We start from the raw sequence: 25649 nt of genomic DNA, 5'->3' as shown, positions 1-25649 counted from the left end.
ACCACCCTGGAAGTCTCTGTACTCTCCTGCCAACATGGCTGTTTTTCTCCCTATATCCAAATACATGTCTAAAATAGCCTAAGTGGCAAGACTAGGAAACAATTTTCTCAAGAACTGGTTGTGCTTCTCTTGGGGAGCTGTCCCTCCCTGGACAGGACATGCAAACTTGCAGTGAGAAGAAACTGCCCTGGCTGAACCATACAATACCTGAATTCCCTGTAGTGAAGAAACTCCCATGTAAAGGAAAACTCCGTAGAGTACTGGCATTGGAATAAACTGAAGACAAAAGGACAAGAAAGGCCAGAAATTAAATTTGGTATCATAGCACACTCAAAACTATATACACTTTTAAATCTCCAAGAATGAAACAAAGTCACAAAATAGCTGCAGACACATTGCATTAGTTTCTGCTGCCTGTGGGTGACTTAGGAGTAGAAGCAAAAGCAGAAGCTGACAATGATAAAAATCATTTGGTTCTGAAATGAAATGATTACATGTAAGTTAGACTTCCCATCTCACCCATCTGGCTCTTCCTCCTCCATGGGGATGGGCACACATACACACACACACACAAACACACACACACACACACACAAACGCACCCCTCTCTTATAGAAATAATGCCTTTTAAATCTTCTGTAATCTCACAATCATCTCCTCAGGGATTTGATGTATTTTAACGTGAACCAAAAAAGCTTCCTTTTTTACTGACCAGTGGCTTGAGGGCAAGAGTGGGGACGTATCTTATCAAAGAGGTAATGGTCTGGGGGGAAACACCGACATTATTATACTGCACTTGAACATCCACACAGTATTTGAACATGACTTTCTGATCACGTCATGTCTATCAACCTAGGTAATCTTCAGATTGACTCTGAGGTAGGGAAATTGGGCCTATAGAATCAAGGCAAGGAAAGTCTCAGAGCTGAAAACTAAATTGGACTATAATTTAGTTTTTTTGGGACTATATAAATATTCTCAAATCTAATTTGTGGAATTAGAAAATCCCTCCAAACTAACACATGAACAGAAAACCAAACACTGCATGTTCTCACTCATAAGTGGGAGCTGAACAATGAGAACACATGGACACAGAGAGGGGAACATCACACACCAGGGCCTGTTGGGGGGTGGGGGGCAAGGGGAGGGAGAGCATTAGGACAAATACCTAATGCATGTGGGGCTTAAAACCTAGATGATCGGTTGACAGGTGCAGCAAACCACCATGGCACATGTATACCTAGGTAACAAACCTGCACGTTTTGCACATGTATCCCAGAACTTAAAGTAAAATTTTAAAAAACAAAAAATTAGAAAATCCCCCATTGGATTTTATGTTCCAGCTGTAGAGTGATTAGACATTCCAATTCGATGTTGTTTGTGAACTACTGAATAGTTGTCCTAAGAGAATTGTCCTGAAGCAGCTAGGGGAAAGCCCAGGGATGGCCACTGCCGCGCCTTCATGGTTCTATCTTGGAGAAGCAGCAACGTTTAGGCTCTTCCAGATGGTGCCTCAACCAGGTGGGAGTGGGAGTTGGGCTGGGGACAGGGAATATGAGGTGGGAAAGGGGTGTCAGGAGAGGTGGGTGGTAAGGTTGAGTGGAAAGTGAGGGGACAGGAAGATGGTTCAGAAATCCTTCCCATCCCTCTCAGTTCTCACCCTTGAAGGGCATTTGTGGTACAGGCTGGGGTGGTTGAAGATTTGCCAAAAAAAAGGGAAGAGGAGGCAAGGGAGACAAGGCAGTGCTCCAGAATGGCTGGCACCTGGGAATACAGCCGTAAAGTTTCCTTCTCACCCCAATCTCCCAGATGCAGGCCTTCCACCCACAAAACATTTTTTTAATGTTCAAAGTATCCTCTATCTGTACCAAAAACAAAACAAAACAAAAAAAACCTCTCTTTTAGCCCCACTTCTCATACTAGCCACTGCCATTTTTCCATCTTGCTTCGCAGAAAAACCTCTTGAAAGATTTGCCTGCAGTCCTTACTTCCTTATCTCCTATTCACTCTTTAGCCACCTATAATTGGATTTCTACTCTATAGTTCCACTGAATTCCTTCTCTGATAAGATACCCCCAACTCCTGCCTCAAGTCACTGGTCAGTAAAAAAGTTCCATGTTAAAATGCACTAAATCCCTAAGGATTTGGAAGATTTTTGAGATTGTGGAAGATTTAAAAGGCATCATTTCTGTTAAAGAGGGGTGTGTGTGTGTGTGTGTGTGTGTGTGTGTGTGTGTGTCTGCCCATCCCCAGACAGGGGTGGAGGAAGAGCCAGACATGGAGGCCTGTAATTTAACTTACATGTAATCATTTCATTTCAGAACAAAATGATTTTTATCATGGTCAGCTTCTGCTTTTGCTTCTACTTCTAAATCACCCACAGGCAGCAGAAACTAATGCAATCCACTGACTCTGCTCTTGTCAGATAACCTGAGGCCTCCAATGTTGCTAAATCCAATGGCCTTAGCTTAGTCTTCATTTTCCAAGACGTGTCTACCCAATCCCTCTTTCTTGAAACATTTTCCTTACTTGGCTTCCCTAATACCACATCCCCCTAGTTTTCCTCCCACCTCTCTGGCAGCTCCTTCTGAGACTCTGTTGCTACCTCTTCTTCTATCCAACCTCTAACTCTGCTCTTATGTCCCACTTCTCTTTTACGTCGTCTCTTTTCCCTGAGTTCTCTCATCTATTCCCTCGGCTTTCAATACCACCTATGTGCTGTTGACTCCCAAATTTATACCCAAATTTATATTTTAGTCCAGAACCCTCCTCTAGCCTCTTCACTTAGATGACTCCCAGACATCTCACTCCAAATCTGATCACAGCCCCACCCCTCACAAAAATCATACAATCTTTTCCATCTTAATAAATGCCATCACACTCCACCAGATGGTCAAGTCAGAAACCTAACAGGTTTCTTCGATTTTTCTATTTTCCTCACCCCATTCCACATCCAGTCAACAATTGAGACCTTTGGGTCTGCCTCCAAGCTATACAGAAGCCATGCGTTTTTATCTGTCCCTGCTACCAGCTTCCTTATCCAAGCCACCATCATCTGTCACCTGCAACAGCTTCACTGGTCTGTCTGCTTCTATTCTTCCCTAGACCTCAGCCAGAGTGATCTTTTTAAACTAGCTGGATCATGTCCCTCTCCTGTTAAAACCCTTCAAAGGTTACCTTGCCCACTGTCGACAAGGCCCTACATGATCTGCCCCTGCCTCTCTTTCCTTCTCATTGCACTGTGCTCTTGTCTTGACTCAATGCCCATGAGCCACATGGCCCTGATATTTCGTAGAACACATATCACTCTTTCCCACCTAAGGGCCTGACTAGACTGCTTTTCTCCCCTCCTTCCATGCCATGTCCCACCATCCATGGCATGGCTCCACCTCATCTTTTTTTTTTTTTTTTTTTTTTGAGATGGAGTCTCGCTCTGTTGCCCTGGCTGGAGTGCAGTGGCATGATCTCGGCTCACTGCAAGCTCCGCCTCCTGGGTTCACGCCATTCTCCCGCCTCAGCCTCCTGCCTGAGTAGCTGGGACTACAGGCACCTGCCACCACACCCGGCTAATTTTGTTTTTGTATTTTTAGTAGAGACGAGGTTTCACTGTGTTAGCCAGGATGGTCTCGATCTCCGAACCTCATGATCCACCCACCTCAGCCTCCCAAAGTGCTGGGATTACAGGTGTGAGCCACCGCGCCTGGCCTCCACCTCATCTTAAATAGCATCTCCTCAGAGAAGCCTTCTCTGACCATCCTACTAAAATAGACCCCTCTCAGTTCTCTATAGTGCCAGAAAGCACTGTGTATTTCCTTTATATCACTATTCACATTCTGTAGTTATCATGTTTGTTTCTTAACTAATTTTCTTAACTACATGTTATCTGTCTTATCCCTCTAGAATAAACTCTTTCAGGGCAGGGATTTATACTTGTAAGTATTTGGCACCACTGTATTTCCAGCACCTGGCAGGATTCCTGGCACAAATCAGGCCCTTGATATTTGCTGAATGACTGAAAGGATGATTACCTTTAAGATAGCCGTCATGAAGACTGAGCAGCCCATCAGCACAAAGATCATAAGGCCTGTCACTCTCTGTTCTCGGATGCCCAGGAACTTGGGCTGTTCTCCAGGAGCAGAGCATTCAGATTCTAGCTTGAGGCTGTTCACATGTGTGATGGACAAGACAGTTGCAGCTACAAACCAGGGCAGGCCCATGATGGAGCAGACACCCAGCATGATGGCCACCATCAGTAGGTCCAGGTGGTAGCCACAGCCTTTCTGTGGGGAAACAGAGTCTTTGTCACCATCAGTAGGCTAGCTGTAGTAGGGCATAGAACAGTGAGCTACGGGTCTCAGGCCCAAAGCATGAAGGGGTGTATGGATAAGAAGGAAGGGGTTCAGGGATCCAAGAGGAGTCTTGTAGCCCCTCCTGGTTAGGAGGAAACAAAGAAGAAAAAGGGGAATCTTAGCCTGTCCTATATATGCCAATATTGATTATTTTTCCAAGTGCCTCCAGCTGACTCTGAGTCTTACACATTCAAAGATCCATTCTTCTCTGGAAGATTAACCAGACACCCTGCCACATCTTGACCATTCTAGATGGTAGAAACTATGGGAGTTAGAGGTAAGTGTCCTTATTGGCTTCCTACCACATACCCCCAGATCCTTGACAGATTTGGATATTGCTTGCCTGCTCTGTTACTTCCCTAGGATCCTAGGGTTCCAGTTTCGGCCTAGAAACTATAGTAACAGACACCAGTGGGAGAATACCTGCCTCTAGGAAACAGTGGCCCAGGCCCCCACCTGAACCTCAGGAAGACAAGCTGTACAGTTGCTTGACCCAAAGCATATAGCTATATAGGGATCACCAGGAACTCTACCCAATCACCTTCCCCACAGGTGTGAGAGGAGAGTAATGGAGTCCACGTTGCTTTCATACCATACAACCATGTTCCACTCTAATCTCCAAAGAAATCTTTGTTATTAAAGAATGGAAACCCCTTATGAACCTCTTCTATGAGATTCTACAATTTCTGGTCTAGATGTGCTTACCCTAAAATTTTACGAAAATGTAACAGGTTGCCACAGCAGCCTTCTAGGTCAGAACCTCTTTTTACCTTGAGCTTATGTTCCTTCCTGTTAATAATGACGGCTGTGATCTGCTGATCCATGAATATCAAGATAGTACAGAGAAGAGCTGGGATAATTGCAGCTATCACAGTCCACCAGGGATTGGGGCCAATGGGATTAATAATCCATCCGCGATCATCCCTTGTTGGCTAAGGGGGAAAATATATTATTTTTGTATTTTAAGTTATAGTCATTGGGGTAAAACATATCAAACTGGATCACAATATCCATATTTCTTTTTATTCTTGAGTGAGGTTCTTAAAAAAAAAAAAAAAAGGCATGAAATACAGCAACTCCTTAGGAAATCTATGACCTTGTTCTGAAACCATTTCCCAAAGAGTTAAAGACACCAATGACTAACAGAAATTCTTGGGTTTGCAGGATGGTAGATAAGAAAAGAAACAACTTGCTGAAACCCCCTTGGCACAGGGGACCCAGAGGTAGCATGAAGAGATAACTATGAATGCCTGAGGACTTTCCAGACCTCCCCTTTCCTTCTACCAATAACCTACTATCCCAGAATCCACCCCCTAAACATTTTCTAATTATTGCAGTAAAGCCAGTGCAGGGAGACAGATTTGAGCTGAATTCCTGTCTCCTTGTTAGTAAACTTGAAATAAAAAACTTTTCTTCTCTCAAAAACCTGGTATCATAGTATTGGCTTCTAGCACATTGGGCAGCAAGCCCCTTTTGCTCAGTAATAGTTCCGAATCCCCTTTGAAACAGTCAATCTTCAATTATTAATTTCTTGTGAAATATTCATTAATCTTGCACTTCCTTCCACTTACTTTCCAAACCTCTGTGTAGAGAGAAAACAAGTGTATCTCAACATTAACCCAAGTAAAATATAATTAACAACTGTATCTGTTGTCAAAAAAATTTAATGACTTCTAAAGACAAATATAAATAACTTAGACTATTCTCCTACGACTTCTCTCCAGAGCCACATAATGTGTGTCTACAGCATAAATAAAGGCAAAGTGGAGCCATCTGCATGGAATCTCTTGGGCTTTGAATGGACTGGATTGCTCCAAGGGGCTTCTCCCATCAATAGTGAAACAGGGGTCCAGCCATCAGAGACTTGAGAAGGAGCCTAAGACGGCTAAAGTTGGGGGTTTGTTTGACCTAGGATCCTCTCCAATGCCCCTGTAATACAACTGTTTATAAATCTTACTGGGGTGTTCACAACATATCTAAACTCACCTAGATCCTTACCCCACCCCTGCAGTGTACTCTGAGGAAGACAAGTTCGCCCTTTTTTGGCAAGTGGTGCTAGAGGATAAAAGGCCAGGGATACCAACTGGACCAGAGTTGACCCAAATTCAAGAAACAAAGCACAGACTGTTATATTTGATTTGGTTCCTTATTAGTCATGACTCTAGGATTCAAATACTCTTTAATAACACCACCAAGTCCAAAATTATGAATGGGTTAGCTTCTAAAAGTTTACAGAATCTATGTTTCCCTAACAACAATGTTCTAAGTGGTAGTTAAGTTCTCAGACCAACACAAAAACTTATTAAATAAACCCTTAATGACGTGATACCCCTAGTAATAGTACTAGCCTTCAGATTGGGTCTTGGGAGTTGAGTGCCATGTGATACAATAGGGAGAGACAAAAAGAAGAAAACTTCTTCTCTGCCTCCTGAAAATGGAGCCTGTCATGAGCAACATTTTCTTTGACATTCTCCCGTTTCCCTTTCTCCCCTGTCCTACCTCCCAGAGGCGTTCTTCACAGATGTCCCAGAAATTCAGTGCCTTCTGACTATCTTAGGCCTATCCCTTTGGAACCTTTCCAAGGACCGCTTAATGTTCCCATATTACCTATTTTTAGACAAAATCCATTCCTCCTGCAGCACTGATCTCAGCTAGGTATTAGAGAGAAAGCTGATTGTGCTCATTCACACAAAGGCAAGAATGCCATATTCTAGAAGGTATTATACTTACAAGAGGGATTGGTTAGTCCATAAACTTCCAACTGGTGGCATTTCAGCAAATTCAACAAAATTAAAAATTTTCAGACAATATGGAAGAAGGTATTTCAACAGGCCTACTTCATGGGTAGAGAGAAAAAAGAGAAAGGAAAGGGACAACTGAAGGGAGCATTTGCAAGTCAGGGACTGCCTTTATTCCTGTCGGCCTTCTCCTCACCAACTTCTCCCACTTTCCTCCTTCATAATTCTTCTAAAGTCACTGAGTACGCACAGATTTTCTCTCCCCTCACCCTATGGGGCTCTATAGAACTGAGCTCAGCTTTTCTATCTTCTTTGTCTACTTAGTCAGTGCTCCCAAACTGAAATCTATTTGGAGTCCCCATGTATTGATCATTTGTTTGACTTTTTGTATAGTTTCTTGAAAAATACCATATATTAGAGAGAGTTATACAAACAATGAAATCAGATTGAGATGATTTCGAAAGAGATGTCATGATTACTCCGGCAGGGGCCCTAGACTCCTGATGAGGCTCCTCTCAGTTCCATTCTCCCCCTTCAAGGAAGGGGCACCATCCTTGAAGGTTCAGGCCAAGTCCTTTACCTTTTTCATTCTTCCCAGTGCCCTTATACAGCTGATGCTCAATGAAAGTGCTGTTAACGAGGCTTGTTCCAGAGACCCATGTTTCCACAGTGTCTTGAATATATTTATGTAAATGTGCACATTCCATTGTTTAAATATTAACATATTAAGAACAGTAAGTGGTATTAATAACAATAATAATAATACTTTTCATTCATTAAACAACCTTGGTTTTTCTGTTCTCTGGCTTTTCTGTCTTGAATTCAACCAAGTCTGAAGTTTGCTTTTCTACATGACAAGGTATGAGGAGCAAGGTTCAGATTTAGGGGACTGTAAAACTCAGGATTAGGATATGAAAAGGCCTTTGAAATTTACTTGGCATCAGAATGTATGAAATTACATGAGTGCACCAAGTACTCTGAGATCTGTTTACCTTGAACACACTGGGAACTTGAAGCTTTGGTGATGGGACTCCAATCAAAAAATCAATAATCACCATTGTGAAGATAGTGAGGAAAACAGCAAAGTCACTCACCATGGAGCGTACCTGGCATGAGAAAGAAGTGGACACATGTTTTGGCAGGTTAAATACAGTAGAAAAGAGGTTAGTATTGTAAAAGGCTTAAAAATCCTCAGAAGAATGTTTTCATCTTACAGTTGAATTAATGCAAGCAAATTTAAACAACAGGAATATGTTAATTGCCCAACTGATGCTCATAAAGTGTGGATATGATGAGGGAGAATGAACCCTCTGACAAATGCTAACATAACCCAGACCATCCTCTGAAGAGTTCTGTTTGGGACATTTAGGGCCAGGTTGGGACTCTAGTTCTGAGAACTTGGATTTTCTGGGATCAGCCAAGGTCCTCAGTGCTAGCCAAAAACCTCAGCAGCAGCATCAACTCCACTTCTCCCTCATACCCAATAGCCAGTCTATTTGCAAGTCCTATTGGCTCTCCCTTCAGAACATATCCCGAGTCTGATCACTTCTTACCACCGCCACTGCTCCCACCCAGATCCAAGTCACCACCAGCTCCTGTTCAGGTAATGGTAGCAGCCTCCTAACTTGCTTCTGCCTTTGCCCTGCAGTGTTTTTTAAATGCAGTCACTGGAGTAATTATTTGAAACATAAGTTGGGTCATGTCACTCCTCTATCAAAACCCTGAAATGGCTTCTGGTCAAAAGGCCTTCTTGGCCTATGAGGGCCACACAATTGGCATCATCACATCTCCCACCCCAGCTCTTATTGCTCTCCTGCTTGCCCACTCTGCTCCAAACACACAGACTGCGTTGCTGTTTCCTTAAACATGCCAAGCTCACTCCCACCTCGGGGTATTTGTACTTGTTCATGCCTCTACCTAACATGCCTTTCCTCCAGGTAACCTCTTGGGCAGCTCCCTCACGTCTTTTAGGTTCAACTCAAATATCACCTTCTCTTTGAGCTCTTCTCTGATGATACCACTTAAAATTGGCCACCTCCCTCCACCCCAGCACTTCCTGTACTTCTTTACTGCTTTATTTTCCTCCATGGCACATATCTCTATTTTGTTGGAGATTCCCATCCAATTTAGGATCCATCATAAAAGGACTGCCTCACTTTATAGTGTGGCTTTAATAAAATACAGTACCTGGCAAATGACCCGTGCCTGCCTTAATCTAAGCTTCCAAAAGAGTGAGAGCAAAACATATCTTAGCCACACGTAATATCACCGGTACCTTAGCCTGACTTCACTTTGCTTTGAAGCCCAAGGTTTCCAGTTCCTCCTCCATGGTTTTGTTAGTTCTTCTCTGAATGCAATATAAATTCTCTGAGTATCCACTGCCTCCCCATCCCCAACATGAAGCCCACTTGACCATCCTGGGGCCCAGTGGCCCTTTTCTCCTCTGAACTCCTACGGCACGTACATCCCAGGGGACATCCAACTGTTTACTACTTTGCATATAGCATCTGATTGTTTCATGTGTTTTTCCTTCCTATCTGATGACAGATACTATCTTTTAAGTTTCTGTTGCACCTCCCTAGCACTTAACCCAGGCCTGAGCAAGTAGTCAGTACAGAACAGCCACTTGTTAACTATTTGTCCTAGCAGGAAACAAAGACCCAGAACTTACTTAATATGTACCTCCCGTGACTGCCATGTAGGCTCACTGAAGTCTAAGAATGTGTTCTAGTCATATATGGGTGTACACTAAATATCTAATTAACTGAGTCCTCCCATTTATGTACCCTGTATTGAAAATGTGCCTGGCTGATAAAAAAGGATGAGTTCATGTCCTTTGTAGGGACATGAATGAAGCTGGAAACCATCATTCTGAGCAAACTATCACAAGGACAGAAAACCAAACACCGCATGTTCTCACTCATAGGTGGGAACTGAACAATGAGAACACTTGGACACAGGATGGGGAACATCACACACCGGGGCCTGTTGTGGGGTGGGGGGAGCAGGGAGGGATAACATTAGGAGATATACCTAATGTAAATGATGAGGTAATGGGTGCAGCACACCAACATGGCACATGTATACATATGTAACAAACCTGCACATTGTGCACATGTACCCTAGAACTTAAAGTATAATTAAAAAAAAAAGAATCCCTGTTAAAATTTTCGCATTATACTTCCAAACCTTGAAAATTATTTTATTTTGAGAACAAAATATCACTTGAACTTGGATGTAAAAAGTAACCTGGCAAGATGCCAAATAATGGCAAAAAAAATGCCATTTATTTAGAGCAAATTTCATTGCTTTACATCTTCTAAAATATGAACAGGAAGTATGCTGAATAAATGTTTTGAATAATGTTTTCCAGATGTGATACAACCATTTAATAAACCACTACTGACTTAAAAAAAAAAAGAGAAAAGAAAAAAAGAAAAAGAAAATGTGTCTGGCTGAAACCTCACTTACAGGAAAAACCACCATTTCCTCCTGATTTGAGCTCCCTTTCTTTTCTTTTTCTTTCTTTTTTTTTTTTGTGTGTGAGAATAGCTTTTATTTTAAAACACTTGAAGCAATAACTCATCTATCTCTCTTTCCATCACAGGCAAATATTCTCCCCCCAAATTTGATGTAGTTTAAACAACAACTGTGACTAGTGCAAAACGAAACAAATACAATCTCTTTCAGGAGGCAGCATCAAAACCTACTGGGCTGGTGGGTACCGGCAACAGGCTCAGCCTCCACCAAGGCCGAGAGAAGCAGCACACTGAGGGAAGCAAGACTTGTGTGGTATCTCACCCAGCTTTGGACAGACTCAACAATACCTGGGGTGGGGGGAACCACAAAAGAATGATGCCTAAAATGAGACAAATATGCTTGGCTCCCTCATGTGGCTAATATCCTGATGCTAGAAAAATAAGTGCAAAGATAGCAGCTCCCAGGCAAAGCTGAGGGAAGACAGTTTGGGGCTCATTTGCTTTTGTTTTTTACTTGGGGTCTTACATATACATTGGTTTTCAGGCAGAAAAATTTTCTGCTTTCTGGGAGGTGTTCTGTGCCACATAGTGCTCCTGACTCCAGCAAAAATATTTGTGTTGTTTCTGTCTATTTGGATGCTTCACTGAATTACCTTTTCTACCTATGGTATTTCACTGCCTACCCCAAACCATGTAAGTGTAGAGTAGCATGTCCAATAGAATTACATTAGCCAGGCCAGGCACGGTGGCTCACGCCTGTAATCCCAGCACTTTGGGAGGCTGACGTGGGTGGATCACTTGAGGTCAGGAATTCGAGACCAGCCTGGCCAACACGGTGAAACTCTGTCACTACTAAAAATAGAAAAATTAGCTAGACATGGTGGTGCACACTTGTAATCCCGGCTACACAGGAGGCTGAGGCAGGAGAATCACTTGAACCCAAGGAGGTGGAGGTTGGAGTGAGCCGAGATTGTGCCACTGTACTCAGCCTGGGCGACAGAGTGAGACTCTGTCTCAAAAAACAAAGAAGTACGTTACCCCTATGTCTAATTTTAAATTTTTTAGTAGCCACATAAAAAATATAAAAATAAGTGAAATAATTATATTTATCAAATTATTATTTTATTTAATCGATATATCTAAAATATTGTCATTTCAGTATGTAATCAATATAAAATATTGATGAAACGTTTTATATTCTTTTCTGGTACCAATCCTTCAAGATCTGGTATATATTTTATGTGTACAGTACAGTCTCAATTTGGCAAGCCAAATTTCAAGTGGCCATTTGCCACATGTAGCTATTGACTATCCACATTAAATACTGCAAATCTACAGAATCTTATGCAAACTCTTTCAGAGTGATTTACTGAGTGGGAAATCTCTGTGACACTGTGCAGGTCATCTTATATACCAACTTAAGAGTAGAGAACTTTGTTTTTTTTGGTTTTGTTTTGTTTTTGAGCAGGTGTCACTCTGTTGCCCAGGCTGGAGTGCGGTAACATCATCACAGCTCACTACAGCTTTGACCTCCCTGGCCTCAAGTGATCCTTCCACCTCAGCCTTCCTGAGTAGCTGGGACTACTATCACACACCACCACGCCTGGCTAATTTTTTTTTTTTATATATACTTTGTAGAGATAGGGTTTTGCCATGTTGCCCAGGCTGGTCTCAAATTCCTGGGCTCAAGCGATCTGCCCGCCTCAACTTCCCAAAGTGCTGGGATTACAGGCCTGAGCCACTGTGCTTGGCCCAGAACCTTGTTTCATAACCTAGGATTTTTTACCTAAAGTAAAGGATAGAATCACAGTTTTATCTACTCCCATCCCCTAGTCCTGCCCCTGCCCCCTGCTGTCTCCCCACAGAAGGCCTGTACTGATGTGATTTAGCAACAATGATACCTACAAGGTGAAAAAGACATCATTTCTGTGATAGCTTCGTCAGCACTTGCTTGGGGATCATAACTCTAGCTGAATTAAGATTTTAAAATATTCTATAAACGTTACAGATTTAGCTGAAGGTGGTTCAGAGGCTTTTCTAGGAGGGTGTTTTAAATAGATTTGTTTTTGAGGGGGATGGTAGCAAAGTTGCTCATGGACTGGAAAGTTGTGAGTTTCAAGAGTGGAAAAAAAATGAGATGATTACAAAGAAAGTAAAGACAAATGGAACAGAAATAGAAACGGGGTGGGGACACTAAAAATGACACAGGTCCTAAACTTGGGTGTATACTCTGTAATAATCCAAAAATATAACATCTAAATCTCTAAATGGTCCCTCACATTTCACATGTCTGACCCTAATAGTAGTAACCACAGGAAAATAAAAATAGAAGATAATGTTAGGGCAGGAAGGGACTTCTGAGCTCATCTAGTTTAACCCATTCGTTTTAAAGAAAAACGCCCAGAGAGGTAAAGCAACTTGGCCCTATCACACTTAAAAGTGGAGGCAAGTTACAAGCCCAGGTGTTCTCACTATGAACTGCAGGTAAGGCAGTTCAGGTAAAGTGAATAAATTATACAGGGAGCAAGAAGCTCAGGCTATTCCCGTTGTACTTCCTGCAAGCCCAAAGTGAGCGACAGAGAAACAGCAGGCACATTCTATTGTAGGTAGGAGAAAACAACCAAGTCAACTCCAAAATATTGAAGAAACATTGATGTGAAATGTCATTTGAACATGATTCTTCCAGTAGTCTTTTCTGTAAATTTTTTTCCTTTAAAAGAAAATTCCCAATCTGAGCCAAATTGGATTTCTGATTAGTTACACGGGCATTTAGATCAATGAACAAAATACAAATTTTGACACATTATGTTTTCCAAAGATACATTCATTGGGATTCCATACAAATGGAAATCAAAAGATATTTACGGGAAGAAAGTACTATCTTTCACATGAACATCCACATACAGTGAGAACTTCACAATTATACCACCATGTCTCACACAGAGGACTCCTAACAAGCTGATAATCAGTTGACCCAATCCACGTATTATTCCACTTTTCACTCACAGATAATATTGCCTGCACACATGTGTAAAATTAAGCAGCACATTCTAGACTTTTATTCCAGGGAAATCTGCCTTGTATATAATAAGACATACATATAAATACATTTTAAGCAAGAAAGAAATCCATTATTTGCTCCAGTTTTTCCCAACTCTCAATCTGAAATAAAGAATAGCACTTGGCCAGGCTCATGCTTGTAATCCCAGCATTTTGGGAGGCCGAGGCAGGCAGATCACGAGGTCAAGAGATTGAGACCATCCTGGCCAACATGGGGAAACCCCGTCTCTACTAAAAATACAAAAATTAGCTGGCTGTGGTGGTGCGTGCCTGTAGTCCCAGCTACTCGGGAGGAGGCGGAGGTTGCAGTGAGCCAAGATCACACCACCGCACTCCAGCCAGGCGACAGAGCAAGACTCCATCTGAAAAAAAAAAAAAAAAAAATTCCATTTATACAAAACTTGGCCTTGTAGAAACAGCCCTCTGTTTCGTGAGACAGAAAAAAGGGCAGCCATAGTACACTTTCTTACAATATGTTTAGGCATCAGAAGGGCTGAATTTCTTTTTCTATTTAATGAAATTAAGTAACATATAGCCTATAATCTTAAATATTGATTTTATACCATTGATTTTACAAAGTTTATTTATAAAATTTTATTATAAAATATGTATTTTGCTCAAAATACACTTGCTAGCTATATTTGTCCACATTTCTTTTTTTTTTTTTTTTTGAGACCAAGTCTCACTCTGTCGCCCAGGCTGGAATGCAGTGGCACGATCTCAGCTCACTGCAACCTCCACCTCCTGGGCTCAAGCAATTCTCGTGCCTCAACCCAGTAGTGGGGATTACAGTCATGCACCACCACGCCCAGCTAATTTTTGTATTTTTAGTAGAGATGGGGTTTCACCATGTTGGCCAGACTGGTCTGGAACTCCTGGCTTCAAGCAATCCACCCACCTTGGCCTCCCAAAGTGCTGGGATTATAGCCATGAGCCACCGCACACAGCCCCTTTGTCTACATTTCAATCCAAACACCCAATCATCCTCCATCCCCCAAAAAGGTGTTTGCTTTGTAACATAATTGAAGACAATCCATTTTTGACGCCTGTGTGGAGTCATTATTCTATGGGGACTGGATTTTGTAAGGCTGCTTAGTATGGGGATTTCCACAGGAGTCAGCAACTTCAGTAACAAAGTGGGCTGCTTTAGGAAATCCAACTCAACATTAGAAGGTAATACCAATAGGCACACTTTAGTAGAGTATTACTACACCATGAGCTCCCCTCCTGCCAATCCCATCTGTTCCCAAATTGAATAAAATGTCAGAGAAGAGAAGGCAGGGAGCATGCTAAACTAGGACACACCATGGCACACCACCTTCTACTCTTGGGTCATCATATCAAATCTCACTGCATCCTTGAAGCATAATTGGAAAGAGATGGCAGGTGTCATCACATCATTGTGCAGATGAGGCACAGGGAAGATGAGGGACTTGCCCAAGGTCCACAGCCAGCATCCAGGTCTCCAGGCCATGGGCCTTGGACACTGCGTCCCTGGCTCACATGGTATTAAGCTCCTATGAGACAGGGGCCCCAGTCACAACCAGAATCCTGATTGTTCACAATTCACCACATCCTAATCCAATGTTTGTGCTATATTTCACCCAGTTGATTCTGCTTCATTTTCCTACAGTTTCTGGAAAAATCCTTTCAACCAAACAAATATATGTTAAGCAGACAGCAATAAATCCTGTTTCATTCGACTGAGTAATTTGAAATACAAACTCCAGAGACTCTGGAATTTGGTGCAGAGCAGTAGGAAAATTACAGAATGTTATCATTCTACTTTTCATCACATTTGAAACTCCAATTTAATCCCAGGTTGCAACTAAAATACTGAAATAAACCAAAATGGAAAGGATTGTCTTTTATAATATCATATAAAGTTTCTTTGCGTCTGTAATTTTTTTTTTTTAAGATGGAGTCTCGCTCTGTTGCCCAGGCTGGAGTGCAGTAGAGTGATCTCGGCTCACTGTAACCTCCACCTCCCGAGTTCAAGTGATTCTCCTGCCTCAGCCTCCAAAGTAGATGGGATTACAGGCACCTGCCAGCATGCCCAGCTAATTTTTTTTTTTTTTTGAGACGGAGTTTCGCTCTGTCCCCCAGGCTGGAGTGCAGTGGCACGATCTTGGCTCACTGCAACCTCCGCCTCTCAGGTTCATGCCATTCTCCTGCCTCAGCCTCCCGAGTAGCTGGGACTAGAGGCGCCCGCCACCATGCCCAGCTAATTTTTTGTATTTTTAGTAGAGACAGGGTTTCACCATGTTAGCCAGGATGGTCTCGATCTCCTGACCTCGTGATCTGCCCATCTCGGCCTCCCAAGTTCTGGGATTACAGGCGTGAGCCACTGCGCCCGGCCCATGCCCAGCTAATTTTTGTATTTTTAGTAGAGAAAGCGTTTTGCCATGTTAGCCAGGCTGGTCTCAAACTCCTGACCTCCGGTGATCCACCTACCTCGGCCTCCCTTAAAATGCTGGGATTACAGATGTAAGCCACCATGCCTGGCCATATCTGAAATTCTTAAAGTATCCAAAATAACACTGCTAGTCACAGCAGATAATCAGTGAAGTCAAATCAGGAGGCGATACATGGAAAAATGGCAGAGATGAGCCTCTGGCCCCTGAAAAATGTAGAAATGGAGTCAGGCAAAGAGCTCAGAGATGAGAAAATACTAATTTGGGGAACTTCACATGATAACTTCCAGGGAGTCATCATGTGGTATGGTAAAACAAGACTATTTTAACTAAAAATAAACATTATACTTTTTGGGGAAACGACTGCTGAGAAATAGAGAATTCCTCTGTCTACCTTTGGCAAAGTACAATATAATGCTGCTGTGGGCATTTGGCATTGTACCACCAAATATCACAAACCCAAGTGAATTCTTGACAGCACTTAAAGGGATAAACTCAGCCCTTTTTATGCCTTGAAATCTAAGTGGGAAACTAATATTTTAAACTGTTCCTGAGTTATAGTTTCATTAAAATATTTACTTGCTTAATACCAACCGTTTAGCCTTTAAAAACCAAACCATCACAGGTTTTGTAGTGAAATGTAAAGGTCTCACACTTTCACACACATTCACAAAATCATATTATGAATTTTTGTATGATTTAAATTAAAAATATATTTTATGGAAAATGCTGTATTGGTTGGGCATGGTGGCTCACCCCTATAATCCCAGCACTTTGGGAGGCTGAGGCAGGCGGATCACCTGAGGTTGGGAGTTCGAGACCAGCCTAACCAACATGGAGAAACCCCGTCTCTACTAAAAATACAAAATTAGCCAGGCATGGTAAGTGCCTGCAATCCCAGCTACTTTGGAGGCTGAGGCAGAAGAACCACTTGAACCCGGGAGGCAGAGGTTGTGGTGAGCCAAGATTGTACCATCGCACTCCAGCCTGGGGAACATAGCAAGACTCCATCTCAGAAAAAAAAAAAAAAAAAGAAAAGAAAAAGAAAAACAAGAAAATGCTGTATTATACATGTATAGGTCAGAAATTATTGTGTGCAATGAAAAAAAAATGCCGTAAATAATGCCCCGCCCAATGGCTGATTTTCTATATGAAACACCAAGAAGGTTTTTTATTTACTGCAGGTAAGGCCACACCACTGGCCACATAAATAGGTTTCTCTGAAGGCCACTAGCACCTATCCCCCAATAGAGGACTGGGAGCACATCCCCATTTTTGATGTACTGATGGTAGATCTCTCGCCAGCAAAATGAACACCCTTTTTTATATTATCTTCTCCTTAAACATTTATTAAAACTATCTACAATAGTGTATCATCACTAATATGAATTTCTTCTCAGTTCTATATCAGAAGGCATCAAATGACTGTGCTCTTTTTTTTTTTAACTTTTTTATTTTTGAGACAGAGTCTCACTCTGTCGCCCAGGCTGGAGTGCAGTGGTGCAATCACAGCTCACTACAACCTCCACCTTCTGGGTTCAATTGATTCTCATGCCTCAGCCTCCCGAGTAGCTGGGATTACAGGCATGTGCTACCATGCCCAACTAACTTTTGTTTTTTTAGTAGAGATGGGTTTCAGCATGTTGGCCAGGCTGGTATCAAACTCCTGACCTCAGATGATCCACCCGCCTGGGCCTCCCAAAGTGCTGGGATTACAGGTGTGAGCCACCACGCCCAGCATGAGTGTATTCTTTAAATAAACTACAAATACACAATGTATTTCTTCATATCTGGCTGTTCTAACTTTTTGGCAAATTAAAAAGGTATGTGGCTTCTTCTCACTGATTCGTATGTTTGAGGTTTAGCTTGGTATACTGTGGTAAAAGTACATGTAACCCAGGCCTTCAGGGGGCCCTTCTGTGGCACAAACTTTGTGGTCACTGTAGATCACCCACCTTCCTTTTATATTTTTGATATGGCAAATGTAATGGTCATTTATTATAGATGTTTCCATGTGACTGAAGGATGTAAATAATTCATGCACTTATTCTTTTCAGTGTTAACTTTCTGTGATGAGGTCCCAGTAGCCATTCTCCACCTTCTCAAGTTCCCTTTCAAAGAAATGGCCCATGTAGCTACTCCACACTCAGCCTCTAATCTTGCCCTGCCAAAACTGGCAAAAGCCTTGCTCATAATACAAACAATGCTATCTGCATCATGGAAAGGTTGCTGAGGTTTCAAACAGTCATACAAACTAAGTCAGGAGCATGCTGGTTGCTGCAGTCAGTGTCGCCAGTGATTTCATAAGCTATTAAAAAAGCCATCCCTGGGAGAAGATTTTTGGGTCCCCTAAAGTATCCAAGGTCACAATGACAATTTACTGTATTCAGGAGCCAGCTGTAGCTATTGTGTGTTAAGTGTCTCAGAATTCTGGAAATGAAACGTAACAGCATTCTGGAAATAAGACTTAATAACTTTTAAAAAACCATCACTACCACCTTAACCTTAACTGGCACTTGTAAACCAAAAAGGTTTTAAGTATTAACCCTTCATTCCCAACCACAGATCTATGAAAGAGGCTGCCAGACACTAGGAGAGAATGCCAGTGTGGCTCATCAGGACATCCGGAGTTCTCCACCTGGCCAATCAACCCCATAAGCAGCATGAAGGCTGAGAAAAGGTTCTGTTATATTTGATTCTAACGTGAAAGAAATGCATGAACATGCTACCTACTCTGGTTGGGAAATAACGGCTCGTCTTAAACGTCTTTAAGGTGCTTGAGAGGATGAAGGTGGTGAAAAAGAGAATACAGGACCAAAAGAGGACATCAGGAGTGTAGGGTCCATGATGGCCGCACGCAGATCCCATGAACTCTCCATGCATCTCCTGGCATTCCTGGAGGAATAAGCATTCTGGGTGATGAAAGGCAGACACAACCAAATAAATAGCTGTTTCCTACTGAGTCCACCACTCATTGTCATCCCATGGTTGTTGGGAGCAGAGGCTGCAAGCAGCATCCCCTTGACCTTTATGCAGTTGCGGGGTGCTGTCTTGCACAGGCCACTTTCAAGTAGGGTGGTTACTTATGGTCCTAAGACATAGAACTGTTCTGAACAATACTACTTCCAAGGCTCTGGAAGGACCCTGGCAACTTATATTTTTCTTATCACAGAGGACCTCCAAACTTGAACATTCTTCAACCCTACATGTCTGGATCTGCCCCCTGTCCTGCATGGTTTCATCCCCACCTATCCTTAGTGCAGGGTCACTGGGTAGGATGTAGGGGGGAGAAAAGAGAAGGGTAATCTTCTCCCTTAACATACAAGAAAAATTCTGAAAGGATAAAAGAAAGTGAGTAAGAATTGTTTTTTAAAAAGCTTTATTTCGGTAAATGCCAGAGTTTGGCCAAAGGGCTACTCCTCCCCTTCACTTAGAAGTCCCTCCTAAACCTGTGGTCACAATGCTAGGACATCTGGCAGCTCCCAGACTTACACTGACAGTCAGGTTAGCCCAGTGGACTTCTGCTGTCACGATGTTGTGGTCCTTCCAGTACTGGAGGGTGTGATTGTTTGGATTCTCTGGCAGAGTACACCTGCAGCTGAGGGGAAAAATTAAAAAGATTCCTGAGGAAAACAGCCAAATACTCAGTTAAATGTTTTTAGAACAACTGGTTTAAAGGCTGTCAGGAGCTGCCTTGCTGCTTCTTTGCATACTTCAGACCTGAGGAGCTGAGGCCCCTCTGTAGGCCCCATCACATTCTAATTTTTCAGTCAGTCATTACAAAAGTTTGACTCAAATCAGCCCATGGGTCTTGGATTAAACTGTGCTGATAACCACATTTGGCATCTGATGTGCCCAGAATGAGTCTTGATTGGTTGTTTTGTTTTTTGTTTTTGTTTTTGTTTTGTTTTTTTGTTTTTGCCCGATTTCTATCTCTTAGGCTCTTGCTATGAAATTTAGTCTACATAGCAAGGAGGTCTCGATATCCCACTTACTTCTCAATAACTTCTTCCAAGCCTGAATATCTTATTCTCTATACCCTTCGTCATGCTCTTGTTCTAAAAGTCAGAGTCTCCTGGAATCGTGATGTAAGCACTTTCTGACACTGAGTTATCTTTGGTAATACCCCACTACCTTGGCCATTCCCTGGCCGCTCATGGTAGAGCCAGACCTAGAAACTCCATTAGCTTCCCCAGGCCTCCTACTCCAGCCAAACCAGACCAGACCAGACCACACCTGTGCCATTGGCCACCATGTTGCCTCCCAGTCCCAGCATGCTTCATGCCTGACCTGGCTCCCAATATGGTCAACTGACACAGCCAACACCACTAACTTTGTATGGTCTGTGAATTTAATAAGCATGCCTTCTAAGATACGGCATGACTGAATTAAAATTCAAAAAGCTCTCGACAGGTTAGAATAATAGGAAGAAATTGACAAAACGAAAAGTAATAGGGAAAGCTATAAAGCCCTATACTTAGGTTTAAAAAAATCAATTCCAAATAATTAAACTGTGGTACATCCAGACAATGGAATATTATTCAGTACTAAGAAGAAATGAACCACCAAGCCATGAAAAAACAGAGGACCTTAAATGCATATTACAAAGTGAAAGAAGCCAATCTGAAAAGGCTACGTACTGTATGATTCCAACTATGATATTCTGGAAAATTCAAAACTATAAGGACATAAAAAGGTCAGTAGTTGTTAGGAGTTGGGGGTAGGGAGAGAGCAACTGGCAGAGCACAGGAGATTTTTAAGGAAGTGAAAGTATTCTGTATGATATTATAATGGAGGATACATGTCATTATACATTTATCAAAATCCATAGAATGTACAACACCAAGAGTCAACTCTAATGTAATCTATGGACTTTGGGTGGCAATGATGTGTCTGTGTAGGTTCACTGATTGTAACAAACTTACCACTCCGGTGTGGGATATTGATATTGGGGGAGACTGTGTGTGTGCTGGGGTAGGGGGTATATGCTAACTCTCTGTACTTGCTGTTCAACTTTGCTGTGAACCTAAAACTGCTTTAAAAAATAAACTCTATTTTTTAAAAATCAATTACATACATATTAACATAAAATCATTTAAAGAGTTAAGGAGTTCTAGCTTCACATCAGCACCATATGAAATAACAGTAGAATGCAACTAAAAAAAAATATCATCTTGAGCTTTATTAACAAAGAATTTGTTTCTGGAACCAAAGTCTACTCAATCCGGGGCTGGTCACTTTGCCTGTCTTCTCAGATATAAGCCTCATAAAGACAGATCCTTTGTCATGTTTGCCACTGCGTTTCCAAGGCCTAAAATGGTGCTTGGTACATAATAGGTGCTCAATAAATATTTGTTAAACAAAGAAAATAATGATAAAAAGAGGTCAAAGAATCAACCTTACAGAAATGAGAACTCTAATGCCAATAGGAGCCAATTCACTAGGCTTTGAAGATGATACTCCCTAATCATTGTTACTTTCTAGTAAAATAAAGTTCTAATAAATTTTTTATTAATTCTGATTTTTAAAAGGTTAATGAGTGAATAACTAGAATAGATGAAAGTGTATCTGTCGCTGGTCCGCAGATGCCTCCAGAAAGTGTACTCTCTCTTCTGAGACAGTTTCAGACTGAAGTTGTTCATTTCACAACCAGATCCTCCACATCAGAACTGTACAGCCAGAACTTGATGTACAGAGCTAAGGGAAGAGGATCTTTAGTCATAATTTGGAGAATACTATTCCAGAGAAGAAATGTTTATAGGACCAGAGTGTCCTAGATGGTTGAAAACACAGCCAGGTACCGTGTTTCTTTTCCAAGTGATCCAAACCATATTGAACACATAAAGAAATCATAATCTCTTAAGTTGAAATCTAGGAAGTAAGTAGGCTCCTGGATCTTTATGATACAGTGTGAGACACTTCTGGATCTGAAAGGAATGATTAATATATCTTCACCTAATAATTCCTAAGAGTTGCCTGTACATACTTTCAGAGAAAGAGAGTCCTTCATTTCAACAAAGGACAGAGTCCATTCTCTCACTTGATAACATAGTCCAGAGGCTCACAAAGTCCTTGCAAAAAGAAGTTCCTCCCCATAACTAACTCAAATTCTCCCTGCTACATTTGCAGCCCATTTTTGTTTCAGTGCCTAGAACCAAAAGACATGGTCTGGAAAGCATTTCTTGAGTCCCCTTCGTGTTTCACTTCTAGTCGATCTTCTCTGTCAACACTTTTGATTGTTCTCCTCTGGCAGCCCTCCAATACTCCTTGTCTGTATCTGAGATCCGTTTCCTAAAGGGCAAGACACTTCTTGACCAGAAGCTGTAAGCACTGCCTAGCACTCTACATCAGCAATTAAACTCAGGCCCTTTGCTCAATTTTTAAAAATAAGCAGAAAGCACACTTACTAATAGAGGCTAAGGTGGTCCAGCTGGCTGTGCATGTGGATGGGGTAGGTCTCTGCCAGGTGAATCAGTTTTTCTATTGCTTCATAGATGAAAATAATGCAAATTAGGGAGGCAAATGCTTCTTCAGTGAAACGGGTAATGTAGCAGACAAGGGAACTGGCATCAGTTGCCACAAGGACAATACACAGGAAAGCGGTCCACAGTCCAATACAAGCTCGCAGGGAGAGGTATGAAAGAGCATAGTCTCTGAAACAAGACCAAAGTTCATCAGAACGCATGGATGGATGGCATTAAGAGACAAGGAGTCAGAAATGTGGTTAATTCATTTCATCTAAACAAGCACTGGAACCCAGTTTATCCCTAATTCTGATTGTATTTTCCTTCTAAATAGTGCTCTGGCACAGTTATGATACAGATTTGCCTCACAGGATATGCGCAAGGATACGAAAACTAAAAAAAGAAATTGTCTCATATACATTCCTGCCATTACTACCTAATGTAATTATGATCTTATTCTTGCAGTTAAGAAAAAAAGGGGCTGGCCATAGTCCCATGAGCTGCTACTTGAAATATAAAAGGAAAAAAGAAAAGATTGTATAGGAAAATTAGGGAAACCAGAGCACTCTTGTGCCCCACTATCAATAGCAAAAAAACAAAACAAAACAAAAAAAAACAGCAGGGGGAGGATATTAGGCCAAATTAAAAATTGACTCACAATGGAAATGGAGAAGTTTGAATTAGCTAGGGAAAGTCTTTTTAAAGATAAAAAGTCAAGACTTCAATAATGGCTGAGGAATATTAATCAAGCTCTTTAACAATAGGAGATCTGCTATTTTGGGTATGGTGCTACCCGGGGGCAGGACAACAGACCAAATGATGGTCTCCTTTCAGGTTTCTTACAATCCAAAATGATATTGCCTGTCTGTACTGAGTAGAACCCTGACATTTAATCCTGGCAGCATAATCACTAAATCTGGTTAGAGTTTTCAGAAAAACAAATGTCTTACTTGCAGAATTTGAACAAAATCTTTTCAAACACAAGCACTGGTCCAGTACTTCCCAGGATGGTGAGAGCCTGTCCCGCAAACAAGGAATAAGCAATCCCAGTCATGGAAGCTCCAAACAAGGATTCAATTGCACTCTGAGAGGAAAAAAAGTCATCACTGAGTCCATAGCCCATCAGTACAGAGTAATGTTGGCTTAGCTACATTCCTGACTTTGCTCTCCTGTGTGCCTTGATGGCCATTTGCTTGTATTTCATCTTAGCAAGAGTGATGTGTACACACCATGTAATACTCCTGTAAACAGATACTACTTTAATAATTCAGGTGCCCAGCTCCATTGACACATGATTCCTTAACTAACTCCTATTCTTCAGTGACTCAATTCAGTATTTGAAAATATACAGAAAGCACAGTGATACCATTCACACTACAAGCTCACATACAGAGTCATTTTAAATCTTATTTTGAAATGGCATCAATATATCCATTTTCCATCACTGAGGCAACAGAAAATTCAACTGGGCAACCAGCTACTGAAGCTGATGTTCAAGCAGAAGAGTCTGTTCTAAAGAGAGGACTGTGTTGCTCTTTGGTGTGATGTCAGAAGACCATGGTAATTCAGAGGAAAAATCCAATCTCTTCAGTCCTAGACCAAGTAATTTCCCCCACAGTGGACCTGGCTGCCGCCACAATATTTTAGGTCTTGTTTGGGATCATTAGAAGTGGTTAAAAGTCCTTACTATGCGTCCCTCAGTGGCTTCTCCAAGCAGTCCCCCAAAGGTGATGACAGGTGACATGCAGGCACAGTACAGGAACAGAAAGGAAGCCAAACACTGTAAGCTGAGTGCATCTCGGTAGTCGCTCCAGTACCAGGGGGCCTTCCGCTTGATGTCCAGCACCAAGCCCCCAAATAGCCTGTGGAAACACAACAGACAGGCTTCTAACACAGTCCGTCTTCCCTAAAAGCATGTAAACAGCACACATTTGAAAGCATTTCAAATGTGCTCTGTTCAGCGGTAAGACTTTGGCTTCAGTTTGACCCCAGTACAGATAACTCTCTTAGGTCAGCAGAGAGTCTCTTTGCAACCAAGGGTATGACTTAGGTAAATTTGAATGAATATCCTAAACATACAAAGAATTAATTTAGATATGCGTATTATCCATTCAATAAAAAGTTCAAAAAAATTAACACGAAAGCAAGTATTAGCTTCAGACTTTAAATTCTGAGCTGTTAGGAGGAAATGTGCAAAACCAACTTAAGGTATTAAAATTACTAGTTTTATTAAATGTTTTCTAGATAAAAAAGCCCCTATCACATGTACTTTCTTACTCTGAACAACTACCCCCCTTACTTGTGAGAAATGTATATAATAATTCATTCATGCAATTGACAAGTAGCAGCAGATACTTGGTGCCAAGCACTGTGCCAGGTACTGGAGATGCGGCAATGAGCAAGACATGAACAGCCCTGCTCTCCAGGACCAAGTCTAGTGCAGGAGACAGGCAGTATTGTGAGGGTGCTATGGTGGCATAGAGCAGGGAGGGGCATTTCAGCCATGACTTCAGGCAGGGACTGGGAGTTAAGCAGATGAGGCAGAGGGGCCAACATGGGTGACACTTAGAGGTGAGAGTGCTTGGTGGATCAAGGTGCTGAGAGATATGAGTGGATAATACAGTGTGAAGGGTGAATGCCAATAGACAAGGCTGGAGAAGCTAAGTCAAAAAGGCCTTAAAAAATGGTTTTATTCATTATTTTTATATATTTTTTTGAGACGGAGTCTCACTCTGTTGCCCAGGTTGGAGTGCAGTGGCGCCATCTCTGGTCACTGCAAGCTCCGCCTCCTGGGTTCACACCATTCTCCTGCCTCAGCCTCCCGAGTAGCTGGGACTGCAGGCACCTGCCACCATGCCCGGCTAATTTTTTTGTAGTTTTAGTAGAGTCGGGGTTTCACCGTGTTAGCCAGGATGGTCTCGACCTCCTGACCTCATGATCTGCTCGCCTTGGCCTCCCAAAGTGCTGGGATTACAGGCATGAGCCACCACACCCGGCCAGAAATGGTTTTAAGGAATTAAAACTTTATCCTAATAGCATGTCAAGTTACTGAAGAACTATAAACAGAAGAGTGACATAATCAAACATACATTCTGGAAGGACCACTCTGTGGTAGTATAATGAATGGAGCATAGATTAGGATGAG

General features: G+C 42.0%; 1 protein-coding gene across 13 annotated transcripts in view; it reads right to left on the bottom strand.

The window, feature by feature from the left end:
- The window catches only part of SLC4A8 (solute carrier family 4 member 8), a 124318-nt gene that overhangs the window by 21784 nt on the left and 76885 nt on the right, over positions 1–25649 (bottom strand). For 7 of the 13 annotated variants that reach the window (NM_001405270.1, XM_011539011.2, NM_001258401.3 and 4 more), the window contains 9 exons: positions 24192–24366; positions 23455–23588; positions 22448–22693; positions 19533–19638; positions 18774–18935; positions 8080–8193; positions 5120–5281; positions 4029–4280; positions 208–276 (listed from right to left, as the gene is read on the bottom strand). In NM_001405270.1, the coding sequence (NP_001392199.1) occupies positions 208–276; positions 4029–4280; positions 5120–5281; positions 8080–8193; positions 18774–18935; positions 19533–19638; positions 22448–22693; positions 23455–23588; positions 24192–24366 (1420 nt within the window). Of the gene's footprint in view, positions 1–207; positions 277–4028; positions 4281–5119; positions 5282–8079; positions 8194–13372; positions 13989–18773; positions 18936–19402; positions 19639–22447; positions 22694–23454; positions 23589–24191; positions 24367–25649 lie in introns of those variants that run through there. The other 6 variants (NM_001405266.1, XM_006719700.2, NM_001258403.2 and 3 more) reach the window with 3 other exon arrangements.

The sequence above is a fragment of the Homo sapiens genome, chromosome 12 (assembly GCF_000001405.40).
Source record: "Homo sapiens chromosome 12, GRCh38.p14 Primary Assembly".
NCBI classification, from domain to species: Eukaryota; Metazoa; Chordata; class Mammalia; order Primates; family Hominidae; genus Homo; species Homo sapiens.
The sequence above is the reverse complement of the archived record's forward strand: the minus strand, read 5'-3'. Positions and strand labels throughout refer to the sequence as shown.